This window comes from Homo sapiens, chromosome 6, assembly GCF_000001405.40.
Source record: "Homo sapiens chromosome 6, GRCh38.p14 Primary Assembly".
Lineage (NCBI taxonomy): Eukaryota > Metazoa > Chordata > Mammalia > Primates > Hominidae > Homo > Homo sapiens.
Genome location: NC_000006.12, coordinates 88,319,207 through 88,337,559, shown reverse-complemented (window position 1 = coordinate 88,337,559; position 18,353 = coordinate 88,319,207). Strand labels below are relative to the sequence as shown.

The following is an 18,353-nucleotide window of genomic DNA, read 5'->3' as shown; positions in this document are numbered from 1 at the left end:
GATTTGGCTCTCTGTTTGTCTGTTATTGGTGTATAAGAATTCTTGTGATTTTTGTACATTGATTTTGTATCCTGAGACTTTGCTGAAGTTGCTTATCAGCTTAAGGAGATTTTGGGCTGAGACAATGGGGTTTTCTAGATATACAATCATGTCATCTGCAAACAGGGACAATTTGACTTCCTCTTTTCCTAATTGAATACCCTTTATTTCCTTCTCCTGCCTAATTGCCCTGGCCAGAACTTCCAACATTATGTTGAATAGGAGTGGTGAGAGAGGGCATCCCTGTCTTGTGCCAGTTTTCAAAGGGAATGCTTCCAGTTTTTGCCCATTCAGTATGATATTGGCTGTGGGTTTGTCATAGATAGCTCTTATTATTTTGAGATACGTCCCATCAATACTTAATTTATTGAGAGTTTTTAGCATGAAGGGTTGTTGAATTTTGTCAAAGGCCTTTTCTGCATCTATTGAGATAATCATGTAGTTTTTGTCTTTGGTTCTGTTTATATGCTGGATTACATTTATTGATTTGTGTATATTGAACCAGGCTTGTATCCCAGGGATGAAGCCCACTTGATCATGGTGGATAAGCATTTTGATGTGCTGCTGGATTCGTTTTGCCAGTATTTTATTGAGGATTTTTGCATCAATGTTCATCAAGGATATTGGTCTAAAATTCTCTTTTTTGGTTGTGTCTCTGCCCGGCTTTGGTATCAGGATGATGCTGGCCTCATAAAATGAGTTAGGGAGGATTCCCTCTTTTTCTATTGATTGGAATAGTTTCAGAAGGAATGGTACCAGTTCCTCCTTGTACCTCTGGTAGAATTCGGCTGTGAATCCATCTGGTCCTGGACTCTTTTTGGTTGGTAAGCTATTGATTATTGCCACAATTTCAGCTCCTGTTATTGGTCTATTCAGAGAGTCAACTTATTCCTGGTTTAGTCTTGGGAGGGTGTATGTGTCAAGGAATTTATCCATTTCTTCTAGATTTTCTGGTTTATTTGCGTAGAGGTGTTTGTAGTATTCTTTGATGGCAGTTTGTATTTCTGTGGGATCGGTGGTGATATCCTCTTTTTCATTTTTTATTGCATCTATTTGATTCTACTCTCTTTTCTTCTTGATTAGTCTTGCTAGTGGTCTATCAATTTTGTTGATCCTTTCAAAAAACCAGCTCCTGGATTCATTAATTTTTTGAAGGGTTTTTTTGTGTCTCTATTTCCTTCAGTTCTGCTCTGATTTTAGTTATTTCTTGCCTTCTGCTAGCTTTTGAATGTGTTTGCTCTTGGTTTTCTAGTTCTTTTAATTGTGATGTTAGGGTGTCAATTTTAGGTCTTTCCTGCTTTCTCTTGTGGGCATTTAGTGCTATAAATTTCCCTCTACACACTGCTTTGAATGCGTCCCAGAGATTCTGGTACGTTATGTCTTTGTTCTCGTTGGTTTCAAAGAACATCTTTATTTCTGCCTTCATTTTGTTATGTTCCCAGTAGTCATTCAGGAGCAGGTTGTTCAGTTTCCATGTAGTTGAGCGGTTTTGAGGGAGTTTCTTAATCCTGAGTTCTAGTTTGATTGCACTGTGGTCTGAGAGACAGTTTGTTATAATTTCTGTTCTTTCACATTTGCTGAGGAGAGCTTTGCTTCCAACTATGTGGTCAATTTTTGGAATAGGTGTGGTGCTGTGCTGAAAAAAATGTATATTCTGTTGAGTTGGGGTGGAGAGTTCTGTAGATGTCTATTAGGTCCACTTGGTGCAGAGCTGAGTTCAATTCCTGGGTATCCTTGTTAACTTTCTGTCTCGTTGATCTGTCTAGTGTTGACAGTCGGGTGTTAAATTCTCCCATTATTGTCGTGTGGGATTATTTTGAAGCAAATTCCAGACATCATATAATTTAACACACAAATATTAGTATTTATCTTTAAAATATGAGAACTTTAAAAACTACAAATAAAAATGTGATTATTGTATTTTAATATTTTAACAATAACTTAAAATATAAAACAGTCAGTTGCAAAATCCCTCATTCTCTGACAGTGGTTTGTTCATATCATGATTTGATGGTGTTTGATTACTAAATCTCTTTTAATCATCTATAACTTTCCCTTTCTTTCTTTTTTTTTTTTTTTGTTTTCCCCCTTGAAATTTATTTTTTAAGACACCAGACCGTCTTGTAAACTTGCCAATACTCTGGCTTTTGCTGATTGCTTCCATGGTGTCATTTTGCAGGTTCCACTATCCCCAGTTTATCTGTAAGTAGAAGGTTAGATATGGAGGCTTGAGAAGATATAGTTTTGATATTTTGACAAGAAGACTTCATATACAGTGTTCTAGCAAGAGACAGAAAATGTGATGTTAGCAGAAATTGCCAAACATTGCCTAGATCCATTATTTCAATGGGGATCTGAATGAAGTGAATGAATCATCTATTTAAACAATTAATGAAAGTGAATTTTTAAAAATGAGGAAAGAAAGTAATGCAGCAAAACCTCATTATGTGATGAATGGCTCTAAAATAATCAAACATGCAAAATGACCAGAGCAAGCTTGTGTAACTGACTCACCTGGTGTTCTGGAAATCCAACAAGGCCATCTAAAACTGGCCTGGCCCAGGAGTGGCTTGATGCCAGCTAGTGGTCTATGACTGCTCTGATGTAAAAATATATCTGTATATTTTAATTATTAATTTTTGTGGATATAGAGTAGGTATATATATTAATGGGTTACATAAGATATTTTGATACGGGCATGTAATGTGTAATCATCACATCAGGGTAAACAGGGTATCCATGACCTCAACATTTATCCTTTGTGTTACAAACAATCCAGTTATACTTGTTTAGTTATTTAAAAATGTACAATTAAGTGATTTTTTTACTGTAGTCACCCTGTTGTCCTAGCAAATACTAGGTCTTTTTCATTCTTTCTATTTTTTTTGTACCCATTAACCATCTCTACTTCCCCCACTACCCTCATCACCCTTCTCATCTTCTGTTAACCATCCTTCTACTCTCTATCTCCACGAGTTCAATTGTTTTAATTTTTAGCTTTCACAAATAAGTGAGGACATACGATGTTTGTCTTTCTGTGCCTGGCTTGTTTCACATAACATAGTGATCTCCAGTTCCACCCATGTTGTTACGGATGACAGGATCTCATTCTTTTTTTATGGCTGGATAGTCCTCCACTGAGTATATGTACCACATTTGCTTTATCCATTCGTCTGTGGATGGACACTTAGGTTGCTTCTAAATCTTGGTTATTGTAAATAGTGCTGCTATAAACACAGGAGTGCAGATATCTCTTCAATATACTAACTTCCTTCCTTTTGGGTATATACCTAGCAGTGAAGTTGCTGGTTCATATGGTAGCTCTATTTTTAGTTTTTTGAGGAACCTCTAACCTGTTCTGCATAGTAGTTGTACTAATTTACACTCCCACTTTCCTCCACTTCCTCGCCAGCATTTGTTATTGTCTGTCTTTTGGATAAAAGCCATTTTAACTAGGGTGATATGTTATCTCATTGTAGTTTTAATTTGTGTTTCTCTGATGATCAACGATGTTGAGCACCTTTTCATATCCCCGTTTGTCACTTGTATGTCTTCTTTTGAGAAATGTCTATTCAGATATTTTGCCTCTTTTTTTTTTTTTGACAGGTCTTACTCTATCTCCCAGGCTCGAGGGCAGTGGTGTGACCAGGGTCATTGCAGTCTCAACCTCCCAGGCTGAAGTGATCCTCCTGCCTCAGCCTCCACCGTATCTGGCTAATTTTATGTATTTTTTTTTAAATAGAGATGGGGTTTTGCCATGTTGCCCAGGCTGGTGTTGAACTCCTGGGCTCAAGCAATCCTCCTGCTTTGGCCTTCCAGAGTGCTTGGATTGCAGGCATGGGCCACCACCCCCAGGTGTTGCCCATTTTGTAATCAGATTATTAGATAATATAATAATCTGATTTACTATAGAGTTGTTTGAGCTCCTTATACATTCTGATTATTATTCCCTTGTCAGATGCGCAGTTTGCAAATATTGTCTCCCATCCTGTGAGTTGTCTCTTCACTTTGTTGATTGTTTCCTTTGCCGTGCAGAAGCTTTTTAACTTGATGTGACCCCATTTGTCCATTTTTGCTTTGGTTGCCTGAACTTGTGGGGCATTGCTCAAGAAATCTTTGCCTACTCCAGTGTCCTGGAGAGTTTCCCCAATGTTTTCCTGTGGTAGTTTCATAGTTTGTGGTGTTAGATTTAAACCTTTAATCCATTTTGATTTAATTTTTGTATATGTGAGAGACAGGGATCTAGTTTTATTCTCCTGCATATGGATATCCAGTTTTCCCGGTACAATTTATTGAAGAGACTGTCTTTTTCCCAGTGTATGTTCTTAGCACTTTTGTCAAAAATGAGTTCACTGAAGATTAATGAATTTGTTTCTGCATTCCCTATTCTGTTTCTTTGTTCTATGTGTCTGTTTTTGTGCCAATACCATGCTATTTTGCTTACTATAGCTCTGTAGTATAACTTGAATTCAAGTAATGTAACTCCTGCAGTTTTGTTCTTTTTGCTTAGGATAGCTTTGGCTATTCTGGGTCTTTTGTGGTTCTACATATTTTTTTTATTTTTTTAGATGGAGTCTTGCTCTGTTGCCCAGGCTGGAGTGCAATGGTGCGATTGCTGCAACCTCTGTCCCTGGGTTCAAGCAATTCCCCTGCCTCAGCCTCCTGAGTAGCTGGGATTACAGGCATGCTACCACGCCTGGCTAATTTTTGTATTTTTAGTAGAAACAGGGTTTCACCATGTAGGCCAGGCTGGTGTCAAACTCCTGACCTCAAATGATCCACTTGCCTCAGCCTCCAAAGTACTGGGATTACAGGCATGAGCAACCACACCCAGCTGCTTCCATATACATTTTTAAGATTAATTTTTCCATTTCTGTGAAGAATGTGAGTGGTATTTGATAGACATCATACTGACTCTGTAGATTGCTTTGGGCAGTATGGACAATTTAACAATAATGATGAGGATGATTCTGGGCCCTGTGGCTGACTGGGACTTGCAGGACATCAGCAGTAATTCCAGGAAACTTCTAATGAGCTGGTGCCCATTTTGAATCCAATCTGGAGAAACCAGGTGATACAGTTTGGAAGTATGTCTTCTCCAAATCTCAGGTTGAAATGTGATCTCCATTGTTGAAGGTGGGACCTAGTGGGAGGTGTCTGGGTCATGGAGGTGAATCCCTCATGAATGGCTTAGTGAACTCCCTGAGGTAAAGAGTTAACACAAGTCTAGTTATTTTTAAAAGAGACTGGAACCACCCACTCTTTTTGTCTTTCTTTCTGTCTCTCTCTTTTTTCTTTCCTCTCTCTCTCCCTCTCTCAATCCCTCTCCCACCATGTGTCACATCTGTTCTCCCCTCGCCTTCTGCCATGAGTAGAAGAGTCCTGAGGCCTCATCAGAAGTGGAGCAAACACCGGCGCCATGCTTGTATATCCTGCACAACTGTGAGCCAAATAAATCCCTTTTCTTTATAAATCACCCAGCCTCAGGTTTTCCTTTACAGCAACACAAAATGGACTAACACACCGGGCTATGAGAATACCGGGAACAACCGGACACACATTTTAAGCTTTCTACTTCTCAAGAAGAGATTGGCACTTCCTTAGCAGGCTTTCCCTCTGTTTGATTTTCCTATCACCGCCACCCCACACTCCCCTTTTTAGCATACTTTTGTTTGAAAATGGGGACTTAGCTGAGGAGTACAGCCAATGGCTAATGGAATTGTAGCCAAATTTATATTGCTATAATAATAATTTTACTGTGTATACAGGTGATGTGAAGAAAATAAAAAGTGACTCATAAACTTGCCACTCATAGACAACAGCTGCTACCATTTTGAAGTATTTTCTTCCCATATTCCTCCAATATTTTAATATATACACCCACATATGTGAAACTAGGCTATACACTTTTAGACCTTGTTTTGGAAAATGAGGCTTATAACATAGGTTGTACTAGGCACTTACTGGAGTGGCTGTCTTACAAGGCAGCGTTGATGCTACCCACCTTGAATCTTTGCTTGGCTGATTGAGTCAAGCAGAGAGAAAGTAACCAAAGCTGCACCAACCAGATTGCCTTCTAGCAACTGAAAGGAGGCATTAAGAGATGGATGATGGTTAAGTGGACACATCTGAATCGTTGTGCTCACACCAGAAGAATTGAGAGCTCCTGCTGCTGAGGACTTCAGAGCAACCCCTAGTTGGGTTCTTCTTCTTCTTTTATTTTTATTTTTTTTGAGACATTGTTTAGCTCTTGTTGCCCAGGCTGGAGTGCAGTGGCACAGTCTCGGCTCCCACAACCTCTGCCTCCCAGGTTCAAGCGATTTTCCTACCTCTGCCTCCTCAGCCTCCCAAATAGCTGGGATTACAGGCATGCGCCACCACACACCCAGCTAATTTTGTATTTTTAGCAGAGACGGGGTTTCACCATGTTGGTCTGGCTGGTCTCGAACTCCTGACCTCAGGTGATTTGCCTGCCTTGGCCTCCCAAAGTGCTGGGATTACAGGTGTGAGGCACCGTGCCTGGCCGGTTCCTTCTTAAGGCTTCCTCATTCAGCATTTATTTTGGTTCTGTAAGACAGCCCAGTTTCCTTATAACATGATGGTTGTTACTAAAGTAGGATCCTGTTACTTGAACTAAAACTATCTCAACTGATACATCAGTACATTACCACGTATTTCCCCAAAATGTGAATTTTAATGGATATATGGTGGATATCCCATATGTAATCATTCCATTATAACTGATGATTGATTGCTAATGATTTTCAATAATAAAAATGCTTTAATAATATACTTAGACAATATATAAACTGTTTACCACATTTTAAATTATTTCCTTAAAAGTTGTTTAAACTTTTATGATATACACTGTAAAACCTAATTGCAAAAGGAGTGATACCAAATTTTTAAAATTACTGCAAGTTTGTAATAAGTGTTAGTCTCATTACATCCTTATCACAGTTTACTATAATTTATGAGTCTCTACCAATTTAATAAAAGCGGGAAAGTTATGTCAAGGCAATTTCAGTTAGGGTCTTTGATTGTTAGTGATGTTGAACATTTTGAATATTCGTATATTTTATTTTGCCAATTTATATTCTTCGTTCATTTCTTATAGGGTTATATATCTTTTTCCTGGTTTGTAAGATATCTCTCCCATGTTCTCTTCTGTAATAAATATTACAAATATTTCTTTCTTGTTTCTTTCCCTATGTTTGTTTGTGTTTTTTAAATGTATGTATACTTTTAATTTTTAGGTAGTCAAATTTTCAATATTTTCTTTCCTACAGTTTTCACTTTGTTTTGAACATTCCTATATCCTCATTTTTATATAAATTTTCATATAATGCTTTTACTTCTTTTTTTTTTTTTTAAAGACAGAGTCTCGCTCATTGCCCAGGCTGGAGTGCAGTGGCACGATCTTGCCTCACTGCAAGCTCTGCCTCCCGGATTCATGCCATTCTCCTGCGTCAGCCTCCCAAGTAGTTGGGACTACAGGTGCCCGCCACCACGCCCAGCTAACTTTTATTCTTAAACATTTAAATCTCTGAAGTTTACTTGATTTTGTGATATGGAAAAGATTCATCTTTTTTCTCAAATGAGTAGCTAGATATTTCAATACTATTTATTAAATAATCTATCACTTACCAATGGCTTTGAAGTAGAAAATTTATTATGTACTAAAATCATATGTTCTATATTGTCTGATTTTTTTACCCACCTCTATGCCATTTCTCCTATTATTTATAATTTTTAAATAAAGTTTATATTTATATTTTTAATCTTTTAATCTCATTAAAATTTTTAAAATTTTTATTTTATAGGTGTAGGGGGTACCAGCAAAGTTTTGGTACATGGATATTTTGCATAATGGTGCAATCTAGTGTAGCCATTACCCAAGTAGTGCGCATTGCACCCATTAAGTAATTTCTCATCCCTCACCCCTCTCCTATCCTCTCACATTTCCATGTCTCCAATGTCTGTTATTCCATACTCTATGTTCATATGTACACATTATTTAGCTCCCGCTTACATGTGAGAACATGCAGTATTTGACTTTTCTGTTTCTGATTTATTTTGCTTTTTCTGAGACAGAGTCTCATTATTTTGCCCAGGCTGGACTTGATCCTGGGCTCAGGCAATCCTGCCTCAGCCTCCAGAGTAGCTGGGAGTACAGGCACACACCACTGAACTGGGCTTATTCATTTTTCACTCTATAATATATGGATTTTAAATTCTGACAAGACAAGCCTCATTTCTTATTTTTATTTTTCAAAAATGTTGGCTCTTCTCATTAAGTAATTTTTATTTTACGTAAGTTTAGAAATGTTTGGCTTTTGTCAAATTCCTTTTGTGTAAGATTTTGTTTGGAAAGAAATTGGCATTTTAATATCGTTCAAGCTTTCAAGTACATGGCATCTCTACAATAATTCAAATTTCTCTTATGTCCTACAAGAAAATTGATTGTAGCTTAAAAAATATATTGCGGTAGCACATTACTTGATAAGTCTATTCTTCAATATTCAATATATTTGCTTCCACTTGGAATGACTCTTTTAATTCTTTTAACTGAATTTAATGGTATATCATAAAGATACTGGTTTCACTATGTTTATAAGAGCTAACTCAGTTGACTGGTTTTACAGGGAGACAACCCTATCTTCTATATATAACAGGGATTTTATCTCTTCTCTGGTATTTATGTCTTTCATTTTCTTTTGGTCTTGTTGCATTACTCTTTGATGATACAGACCGTGGTCATTCTTTTCTTGGTTTTTATGCTTTGATATTACATACGATGTTGTCTTCAGGTTGAGATTTTATGAATAAATCATACATTTTATCAAATGCAAATAGTGATTGACACATATTTCTTATTTATTCAATTGGTAAAATAAATGTTATTAATTCAGTTCCTGATGTTGAAGTATTTTGGTTTCTTTTCCTGAATCCTACTAGGCCATAGCGTATTATTTTCATTAAAGGAAAAGATCTTATTTTCCACTACTTTATTAAAGATTTTTTGCTTCCATGTTAATAAGTGAGATCGGTTTAACATTTTGGGCTACTGTTATTAAGTTTTAGTGTCAAAGTTATGCCACCTTCCATTGGTCATTTTGATTAGCCTTATGTTATATTTATAATTGATTTAGAAAAAATCCCATTTATTTATTTATTTATTTATTTATTTATTTATTTATTATTTCTCTTCATGTATTCAAGTCTTGATGTTGAATAACTTTATGTGAGGTGGGGCTCTTTCAGCTGAGAGATGAAGAATGAATAGGAGTTAGTAGGTGAAAGTTTCCAGGGCTTTCCAGGAAGAACTTTTGAAGAGATAAGTGGCACAATCAAATTTGCCTATTGAATGGGTCAATCAAGCTGCAGTGCAAAGAATGGATTGTAAGGAGATAAAGAGTGGATGCAGAGCAGTTGACCCCTGAAAAACTGGACAATAAAGCTGACTGTGGAAAGGAAGAAAACTGAGTGGATGCCAATAATACTTAGGGAGTAAAACAGGCCATGCTAATGGAAGATGTATGAGTATCAGGATGACACTCAGAGCTTCCTCAGGGCGTGAGAAACCGGGTGGCTATTAATGCCATTTATTAAGACAGTGAGCACTGAAAAAGGATCAAGTTTTGGAGTAGGGAGAATGAATTTCATTTTGAACATGCTCTGTTTGCACCACCTGTATATATCAGTCAAGTTCCATTCAGAAAACCAGAAACCACACAAGTTCTATTAACAGTATTATAATCTGCAGAATTTATTAAATAAGTATCAGAAAATTTTAAAGAACAAAAGGGAAACACTGAAGCAATTCAGAGTTAGTAACAAGAGAAAGCAGCTACTCCTCATAAGGCTGAGTGGAAAAAGGGAAGAGGCTGGGGTTTTTAGAATCTAGAGCTTGAGGAAGGACCCTACAGAGCTGAGAGGCAGACCACCAAACCTCCAGCCTGGCACTGGCTGATGCTGGACTCTTAGGGAGGAGGGGTTGGGGAATGAAGCTGGCTTTGGAGTGCTGAACAAAATCTGGAACCAACTGCTGCAGCCAGGGTGAAGAACTATTAACTATCGCTGGTGATGCTGGGGCATGCCCTGGCAGAACTAAAGGCAGCCAGTTGGACAAGAAAGAATGCGAACAGCAGAGTTCCAGTCCTAGCATCACAAGAATATAAAAAAGTTGATCTGGAGCTGAAAGAATATGTTAATAACCACCACAATATGTAATATGAAAATGCAAACCTGTAAGCAGTTGGATTTTGTTATCTGGAGCTCAAACAAAAGGTCTTATCCAGAGTCATAAATTTTGAAATGGCCAATGTCTATCCAGATCAGTCCACTGCTTGATAAAAATATAATGCAGGCCACATACATAATTAGAAATTTCTATTAGCCATACAAAATAATACATTTTATTTAATCAGTATATCCAAAATATTATTTTGACATGTAATCAACATAAAAATACCGAGATAGTTCACATTCTTTTTTATACCAAATTTTTGAAATCTGTGTATGCACTTACAGCATGTGTCAGTTCAGATGAGCCGTATTTTAAGTTCTCAGTAGGTACATATGGCTGGTGGCTACCTCATAGGACAGCATAGCTCTCCTTTATAAGTTTCAGGTATGGATAATAAAACCTAAATAGAGATTACAAAGTGAAAACTGTTATCTGGGCACAAGTTTGAGAAATCCAAACATTTAGAAGCCAGACAAGTAGGATGAGAGACCACGAATGGAGGAATGCCGGTAGAGTGTGGTTCCCTGGAAAAACAAGAATTCAAGAAGGAAGTGATCGACAGATGTGATAAAGACTGAAAAATATTCATTACCTTTAGTGACATGGTGGTTATTGATGGTCTTTAAAACAGTTCCTTTTGAGGAGTAGTGTAGATGGAACCAGGTCAGAATGGGTTGAAGGACCAAGTAGAAGGCTAGAAAATGAGGGTGATAAATATAAATAATTTTGCCAGATTTTTGTAAAGAAGAAGGGGCCATGAAGATGAAAACCAAATAGAATTGGAAGAGAAGGAACAGGGAGTCTGGAAAGATGGGAGAGACTTATCATATTTAAGAAGTAATTGAAGAGAAACAGGAGTAAGGAGAGGTTGATATTGTCAAAGCAAGAAGGGATAATTCATAATGTAAAGTTCCTGAGAAGGTGGGAAAGGATGGAGGGAGAAGGGTGAGATCACTAGGATTTTGTGGGAGAAGAAAGAGGTTGTGTTCAGATGCAGGTAGGTTGGTAGACTGAGTAGCAGGAAGTTGAGAGGGTTCCCATCTAATGAGAGAGGGGCAGATAATTTGCTTAGGCGGAGGAGGATGCGTGGCTGAATGACCATGATGGGAGAGAAAACAAACGAACCAAAGAACTGTGATAGGATTACTCAGGACTGTGAATGACACAACAGAAGTTTTTGACCTATAATCAAGTCATCAGTAAACAATAGTAAGCTGTCACCTATTTTTCATGTTTTAAAACATTTTATGTTTTGGTTGCTTTATATTTTATTTTATTATCTTGAACTCAGTGTATGATTTTGTACAATAACATTATAGCAGATATTTTTGCTTTGCCCCTGATCATAACAGGCATGCCTCTAGTATTTTATCTTGAAATGTGATATTCTTTGGTGATTTAATAATGTTGAAAGTCTTCAACTTCTAGTTTTCTAATCCTTAAGAAAATAAGAATGGGCTGTATAAAAATCTCTTTCAGCATGTCTATTATCTATCCCGTAATTTTTTCTTATTGAATTTATTTAATAGATCTGAATTCTAGGGATAAATTTCACTTGGGTGATTTATAACATATCCTTGAATTTAGTCTGCTAGCAATTTATTTCTGGTTTTGGGATATATCAAAAAGGGATTAGCTTTTCTTTTTGCTTGAGTATCAGAGCTGTGTTGGCGTTATAAAATAAATTATGTAGCTACCTATATCTTTTTGTTCTTAGGAGCAATTTGTGTAGCATTAGCTGTTCTTTGAACATGTGAAAAAACTCTACTTGATTTCAGAGCCACTACTTCTTTTACACCTTTTCTGTGTTAACTGTAGTTGTGAGTCTATTTGATTTTGACTCCTTCTTCAGTCAATTTCAATAATTTATATTTTTTAAAAAAGGCTTATATTTCATTGAAATTTTATAATATTAGCATTGAGTAATACAACACATTGTTTTATAATTTTAAAATTTATGTCTGTCATTACATTCTCCGTATTATTCTCACTTATATCTATTCACTCCTTGTACTGTTCTTTTCTCTGCAGTTCAGTCGGCCAGAGCTCTGTCAACTTTATTCTGCTTCCTTTGTTGCTTACTTGTGTGACTGTTTAAAACACATCTTATTCACTTTAGTTCTTTCTTTAGGTTTTTTGATATTTTTCTCTAAAGAGTTGAATGACTTACTTGTTTTCCTTTTTTAAACATTGAGACTATTGTTTCCATTTTTATCATCTAAAACTATTATGTACCTATTGTTCTGTTTTTAAAAAATAGTTTTTAAAAGTTTTTAGAGTATCATTCTGAGGAGGATAACTATGTGTTTATTGTTATAAAGAAGTTAAAATTTTCATTGTTGCTTAAACTTTTGTTATTTATTGTTTTAATACAAAGTAGACAGATCATATGTCTAGTTTGTTTTCTTTTTATTGGAAACTATTGAGGTTTCTGGTGGAGAATATATGACAGTTTTTGTAAAATTTGCATGATATTGTGAAAGAAGTTTATAGAGCACAAGATGTGCTTTTAGCTTAGCACTCCAATAATTGGTTTTTGTCCATTTTTCTTGGCATATCTAACAGTTTTTAGAATTTATAATGATGCTATATTATATAGGGCTTACAGATTCACACATATAAAATCTCTTTATTATGAATTTTACCTTTTGTAATATAAAATGATCTTTTTTTACTTGTTCCATGCTTTTATCTTGAATCCTTTGGCATTATCTTTGTGATTCCCCCTTTTTCATTTACTCCAATTATGGTTAGCCTGTTTTTTCCCCTCTCAGTCTCTATAATACATTGTTTCTGACCTTTCCGTATTATTTCCTTTATGTATATCTTTTATAGGCAGATAGAATTGATTACTTTTCCCCCCTTAACCTAAGCAGATTGGTTTTGTTATGTTTAAACAGGACATCTTAACCCAATTAATTTTGGTTCTAACTAATATGATTTTGTAAAGACTTGTCTGCTCTTACATCATAAAGATCCTGTGTCTAGTATGCAATTAAGAGTGCCAGTTTACTAATTTTCTTCTGACTTTAGTAGTATATTTGTCTCAGAAGTATGTTCTTTGTTTGTTTTGAAATCTCTTCCCCAGGTTCTGCAATATATTTGAACTATTTTTTTTCTCCTTAGCCTCCATCAGAGAGCTCCATCCAGACCTAGACTTGGACAATAGGCAGTTGTTTGCTTGCCTCTGGCTCTGCTCACTCTCCATGGGGGTCTATAGCTGGTGATCATCTTGTATACCTAATTCTGGCTTCATCTTCAGACTCGGACAGGTAGGTGTTCATTGCACAGAGCACTGACAGAGGTGATGAGATTATCTTCTTACCTATTGGCTATTTTTCTGACACCCAAGAAGCCTCATTCCTTGCTGCTAGTCTTTTCACTGTTCTCTGCTCATTTTGTTCTTGAGGCAGAATTTGACTTGTTTGAATCACCCATGTTGGGGCACCATGCGTCATACCAGACTAAATCCTACTTTCTTGTCTTTTATTTTCTAGGATTTGAGGTACTGATATTTTGGTCTGGAGAGCATTATTTTGACCTCATCAAAAAGAGTGAACTGCTTAGTTTGTTAGCTGGCATAGACTATAATTCTGAGCCAGAGGTCACAGGTTGGGAGGGGAAAATGTATCTTTTGTTTTATTTTTAACCATCAGATTTGCTCTGTTTCTGGCAATATGACATGCATTGAATACAAATTGTTTTATTCAACTTAGACCACGGGGCTTATATTTCATTGTCTGTTCTCTCATTATTTGCAATAGAGTATATGTCAGTTTTAGTTTTCAGTATTGATAAGGAATTTTTGCTTTTGCATCATAGATATGTTTTGTCACTGGTGAAGAGATGCCATTGTAAACCAGAAACCACAGCAACTGTTTTTTTTTTCAAGGATGATCATGTTAATAATGGCCATTTATTAAGCATGTGTTATATTCTAGGCATGGTGCCTTACTTGTAAACATCAATATTAATTTGATGTTTTCCTTTCATTTAATGGACCTGTGGACATATTTTTGCCTGATTCTTATCTAAGCAATTGAATTACCTCATTTTATGCACACTGAATTGATATGTTATCACCCTGTTCTTTTGTCCCATACTGGAAAGACAAGAGCTTACTCATAGCAAGTTTATCAGACCGATGGTGTGCCCTTTTGGATTAATCTCAACAGTGATTTCATTTCATGCCACTATTTTTATTTATGTTGTATTTTTGTTGATGTCATTTTTAGCCTATTAAATCTGCTGTAAATACTTTTTTATAGTATATGAGTAGTATAAAGTATCTAAGTAGTAACAAGGTGAAATATTAATAAACAAGTTCAGGTTCTTACATCTTCCTCCAAAAAAGAATATTGAATCTGAAAGACATGAGACTGCATTTTATATTTGGCTACAATAAACCTTGTGATCTATAAAGCTCTGAAGACTGCATGGCTTAAACTTTTGCTTTTAGCTGATTTTTACATATTTCCTTAGGTGCTAAGTGTCCCAGATGTCAGAGATGACACCAGGCATTGTAAACTCTTTGTCCCCAGAAAGCTTCCCTTCCCCTTTCCCTCTTTCTCCTCACTGGGGACATCAATGGCAAGCGGCAAGTACATGAAATGGTATTGGGCCAGGCAGCCATGCCCAGCTTGAGCTCTGGCCCTTGCTAGCACCTCAAGCTTGGGCTAGTCCCTGAGCTTTGCTGAGCCTCTGTGTAGGAAGTGATCACACATGGATGCCAGAGAGGTCATCAGGTTTTATGAATTTGAATACATAAAATTACTATGTCACATTCCTGAAACATCCTAGGTCCCTAATAATAGACAGACATTGCTACTATGTGTGTGTGCTTTGTCCTCTTTGATGCCTCCCTAGGGGTTAGCATAGGGTTCTCTTGGGGCATTCATTGCAGTTTTCCATTTACACCTGTGCTTCCTATGCTCTGAATCCTATATTCTGACCTCCTCTCCTCTTTTCCCACATTTTGTTAGGGTCATGCTTCTTACTAATATAACATGGCAATCTATTAAACACAAATACGTTATTGTCTAAGATAACATTTTTATTTAACAGAAATTTCTGGTGAACATGTCTTGGACAAAAAATCAGCTGTGTTTATGCATTTTTTGTCTTGGACAAAAAATATATAAAAAAATAAGCATATTTATAATTTCAGGTCAATAGGGGCAATATGTTTGTTTGGACAGTGCCTTTCAAATAACAATATTGTTAGACATTTTGGGAATATGAGATTGCAAACCAGGGGATAGACACTTTTAAACTTTTCTGTAATTTTTTATACTTTTTCTTGCCTTTTCTATACTTTTAACCCTTTCTAAAACAAGACAGGTAGATCCAAGAAGCTCAACCATGGAAGGAACAGCCTTCCAGGTCCTGGGTGAAAATGAGACAGGTTAAAAATGTGGAAAAACAAATGAATTGTAGCTGTGGATACAAAAATTAAAAATACCTTTAATGATTGATAACATGGTACATCAAAGATCCAAACCAAATGAAGGAGATCAAAGCTTTGATGATTCAAATGCAATCATGTAGGATTTGGGATGCAGGAAATCTCATTTTATAGATGAAGTAAACCTTAAATCAGGCTCAAATGGGCTCAGACCATCTCATAGGAGGTACAGGGAAGAGTTGGCTGTATGTGAACATTCAAGCTGGGACTGATGAGGCAAAAAGAAATATTGCCAGCACGGTGTATGCCAAAAAGCAGCAATAGGGCTGGACTAATTTGAACTCCCTGCTGACCCCAAGAATGCAAACAAAGAGCAAAAAGATTCTCTGGTCACCCAGCAATACTGGCTGATAACAAAAAGGATCTACATTCCTTTTAAAAGCTTGGGTTTATAGTTCTTGGGATGTTCCCAGAAAAATAAATGTGCATTTGTGGCTTAGAATCCATGGAAATAAATCCAGGTATTTCAGCAGTAATTACAAAAATGTTGTATTTTGCAAAATTCTCTAGAAAATTGCACTATAACTATGCATCCTATTTTACCTATGTATGAAAGAGCCCTACAGAATTGTCCATAAGAGAGAAACTATGCTTATCCCAAAATCCAAGTGCTTGTGGCCCAGTGTGGTAGCTCACACCTGTAATCCTGGCACTTTGGGAGGCCGAGGTGGGCAGATCATTTGAGCTTAGGAGTTTGAGATCAGCCTGGGAAACATAGCAAAACCCTGCCTCTAAAAAAATACAAAAAATTTAGCCTACTGGGACTACTACATGCCTGTAGTCCCAGCTACCTGGGGTGGGGGCTGAGGTGGGAGGCTCGCTTGAGCCCAGTAGGTCAAGGCTGCAGTGAGCCGTGATTATGCCACTGCATTCCAGCCTGGGTGACAAAGTGAGACCCTGTCTCAAAAAAAACAAAAAACAGCAAAACAAAATCCAAGTTCTTAGATTTGGGTTTGAATATAATGGCATAGTCATGTTTGGATTCTCATTTAGAATTACCTACTACTTTTTTTGAGAGCGCGAGAGAGACAGTCTCACTCTGTTGCCCAGCTGGAGTGGTGCGATCAAAGCTCACAGTAGCCTCGAACTCCTGGGCTCAGGCAATCCCCCTGCCTCAAACTCCCAAGTACCTGGGACTACAGGCATGCGCCACTATGCCTGACTAATATATATATATTCTTTTGTAGATGTGGGGTCTTACTAAGTTGCCCAGACTGGTCTTGAACTCCTAGCCTCGAGTGATCCTTCTGCCTTGGCACTGGGATTATAGGTGTGAGCCACTGCATCTGGCTACCTACTACTTTGATACTTTGAATTTTTTTTTAAAATTATTATTATACTTTTAAGTTTCAGGGTACATGTGCACAATGTGCAGGTTAGTTACATATGTATACATGTGCCATGCTGGTGTGCTGCACCCATTAACTCGTCATTTAGCATTAGGTATATCTCCTAATGCTATCCCTCCCCCCTCCCCCCACCCCACAACAGTCCCCAGAGTGTGATGTTCCCCTTCCTGTGTCCATGTGTTCTCATTGTTCAATTCCCGTCTATGAGTGAGAACATGCAGTGTTTGGTTTTTTGTCCTTGCGATGGTTTACTGAGAATGATGATTTCCAATTTCATCCATGTCCCTACAAAGGACATGAACTCATCATTTTTTATGGCTGCATAGTATTCCATGGTGTATATGTGTCACATTTTCTTAATCCAGTCTATCTTTGTTGGACATTTGGGTTGGTTCCAAGTCTTTGCTATTGTGAATAGTGCCGCAATAAACATACGTGTGCATGTGTCTTTATAGCAGCATGATTTATAGTCCTTTGGGTATATACCCAGTAATGGGATGGCTGGGTCAAATGGTATTTCTAGTTCTAGATCCCTGAGGAATCGCGACACTGACTTCCAAAATGGTTGAAGTAGTTTACAGTCCCACCAACAGTGTAAAAGTGTTCCTATTTCTCCACATCCTCTCCAGCACCTGTTGTTTCCTGACTTTTTAATGATTGCCATTCTAACTGGTGTGAGATGGTATCTCATTGTGGTTTTGTTTTGCATTTCTCTGATGGCCAGTGATGATGAGCATTTTTTCATGTGTCTTCTGGCTGCATAAATGTCTTCTTTTGAGAAGTGTCTGTTCATATCCTTTGCCCACTTTTTGATGGGGTTGTTTTTTTCTTGTAAATTTGTTTGAGTTCATTGTAGATTCTGGATATTAGCCCTTTGTCAGATGAGTAGGTTGCGAAAATTTTCTCCCATTTTGTAGGTTGCCTGTTCACTCTGATGGTAGTTTCTTTTGCTGTGCAGAAGCTCTTTAGTTTAATTAGATCCCATTTGTCAATTTTGGCTTTTGTTGCCATTGCTTTTGGTGTTTTAGACATGAAGTCCTTGCCCATGCCTATGTCCTGAATGGTAATGCCTAGGTTTTCTTCTAGGGTTTTTATGGTTTTAGGTCTAACGTTTAAGTCTTTAATCCATCTTGAATTAATTTTTGTATAAGGTGTAAGGAAGGGATCTAGTTTCAGCTTTCTACATATGGCTAGCCATTTTTCCCAGCGCCATTTATTAAATAGGGAATCCTTTCCCCCTTGGTTGTTTTTC

At 37.1% G+C, this 18,353-nt stretch overlaps 1 long non-coding RNA gene across 5 annotated transcripts in view; it reads left to right on the top strand.

The window, feature by feature from the left end:
• Positions 1–18,353, top strand: part of LOC105377885 (uncharacterized) — a 143,181-nt gene that overhangs the window by 105,360 nt on the left and 19,468 nt on the right. For 4 of the 5 annotated variants that reach the window (XR_001744251.1, XR_007059669.1, XR_001744250.1 and 1 more), the window contains exon 3: positions 13,415–13,560. This is a non-coding gene — a long non-coding RNA (uncharacterized LOC105377885). Of the gene's footprint in view, positions 1–13,414; positions 13,561–13,785; positions 14,719–18,353 lie in introns of those variants that run through there. The other variant, XR_001744252.3, reaches the window with a different exon arrangement.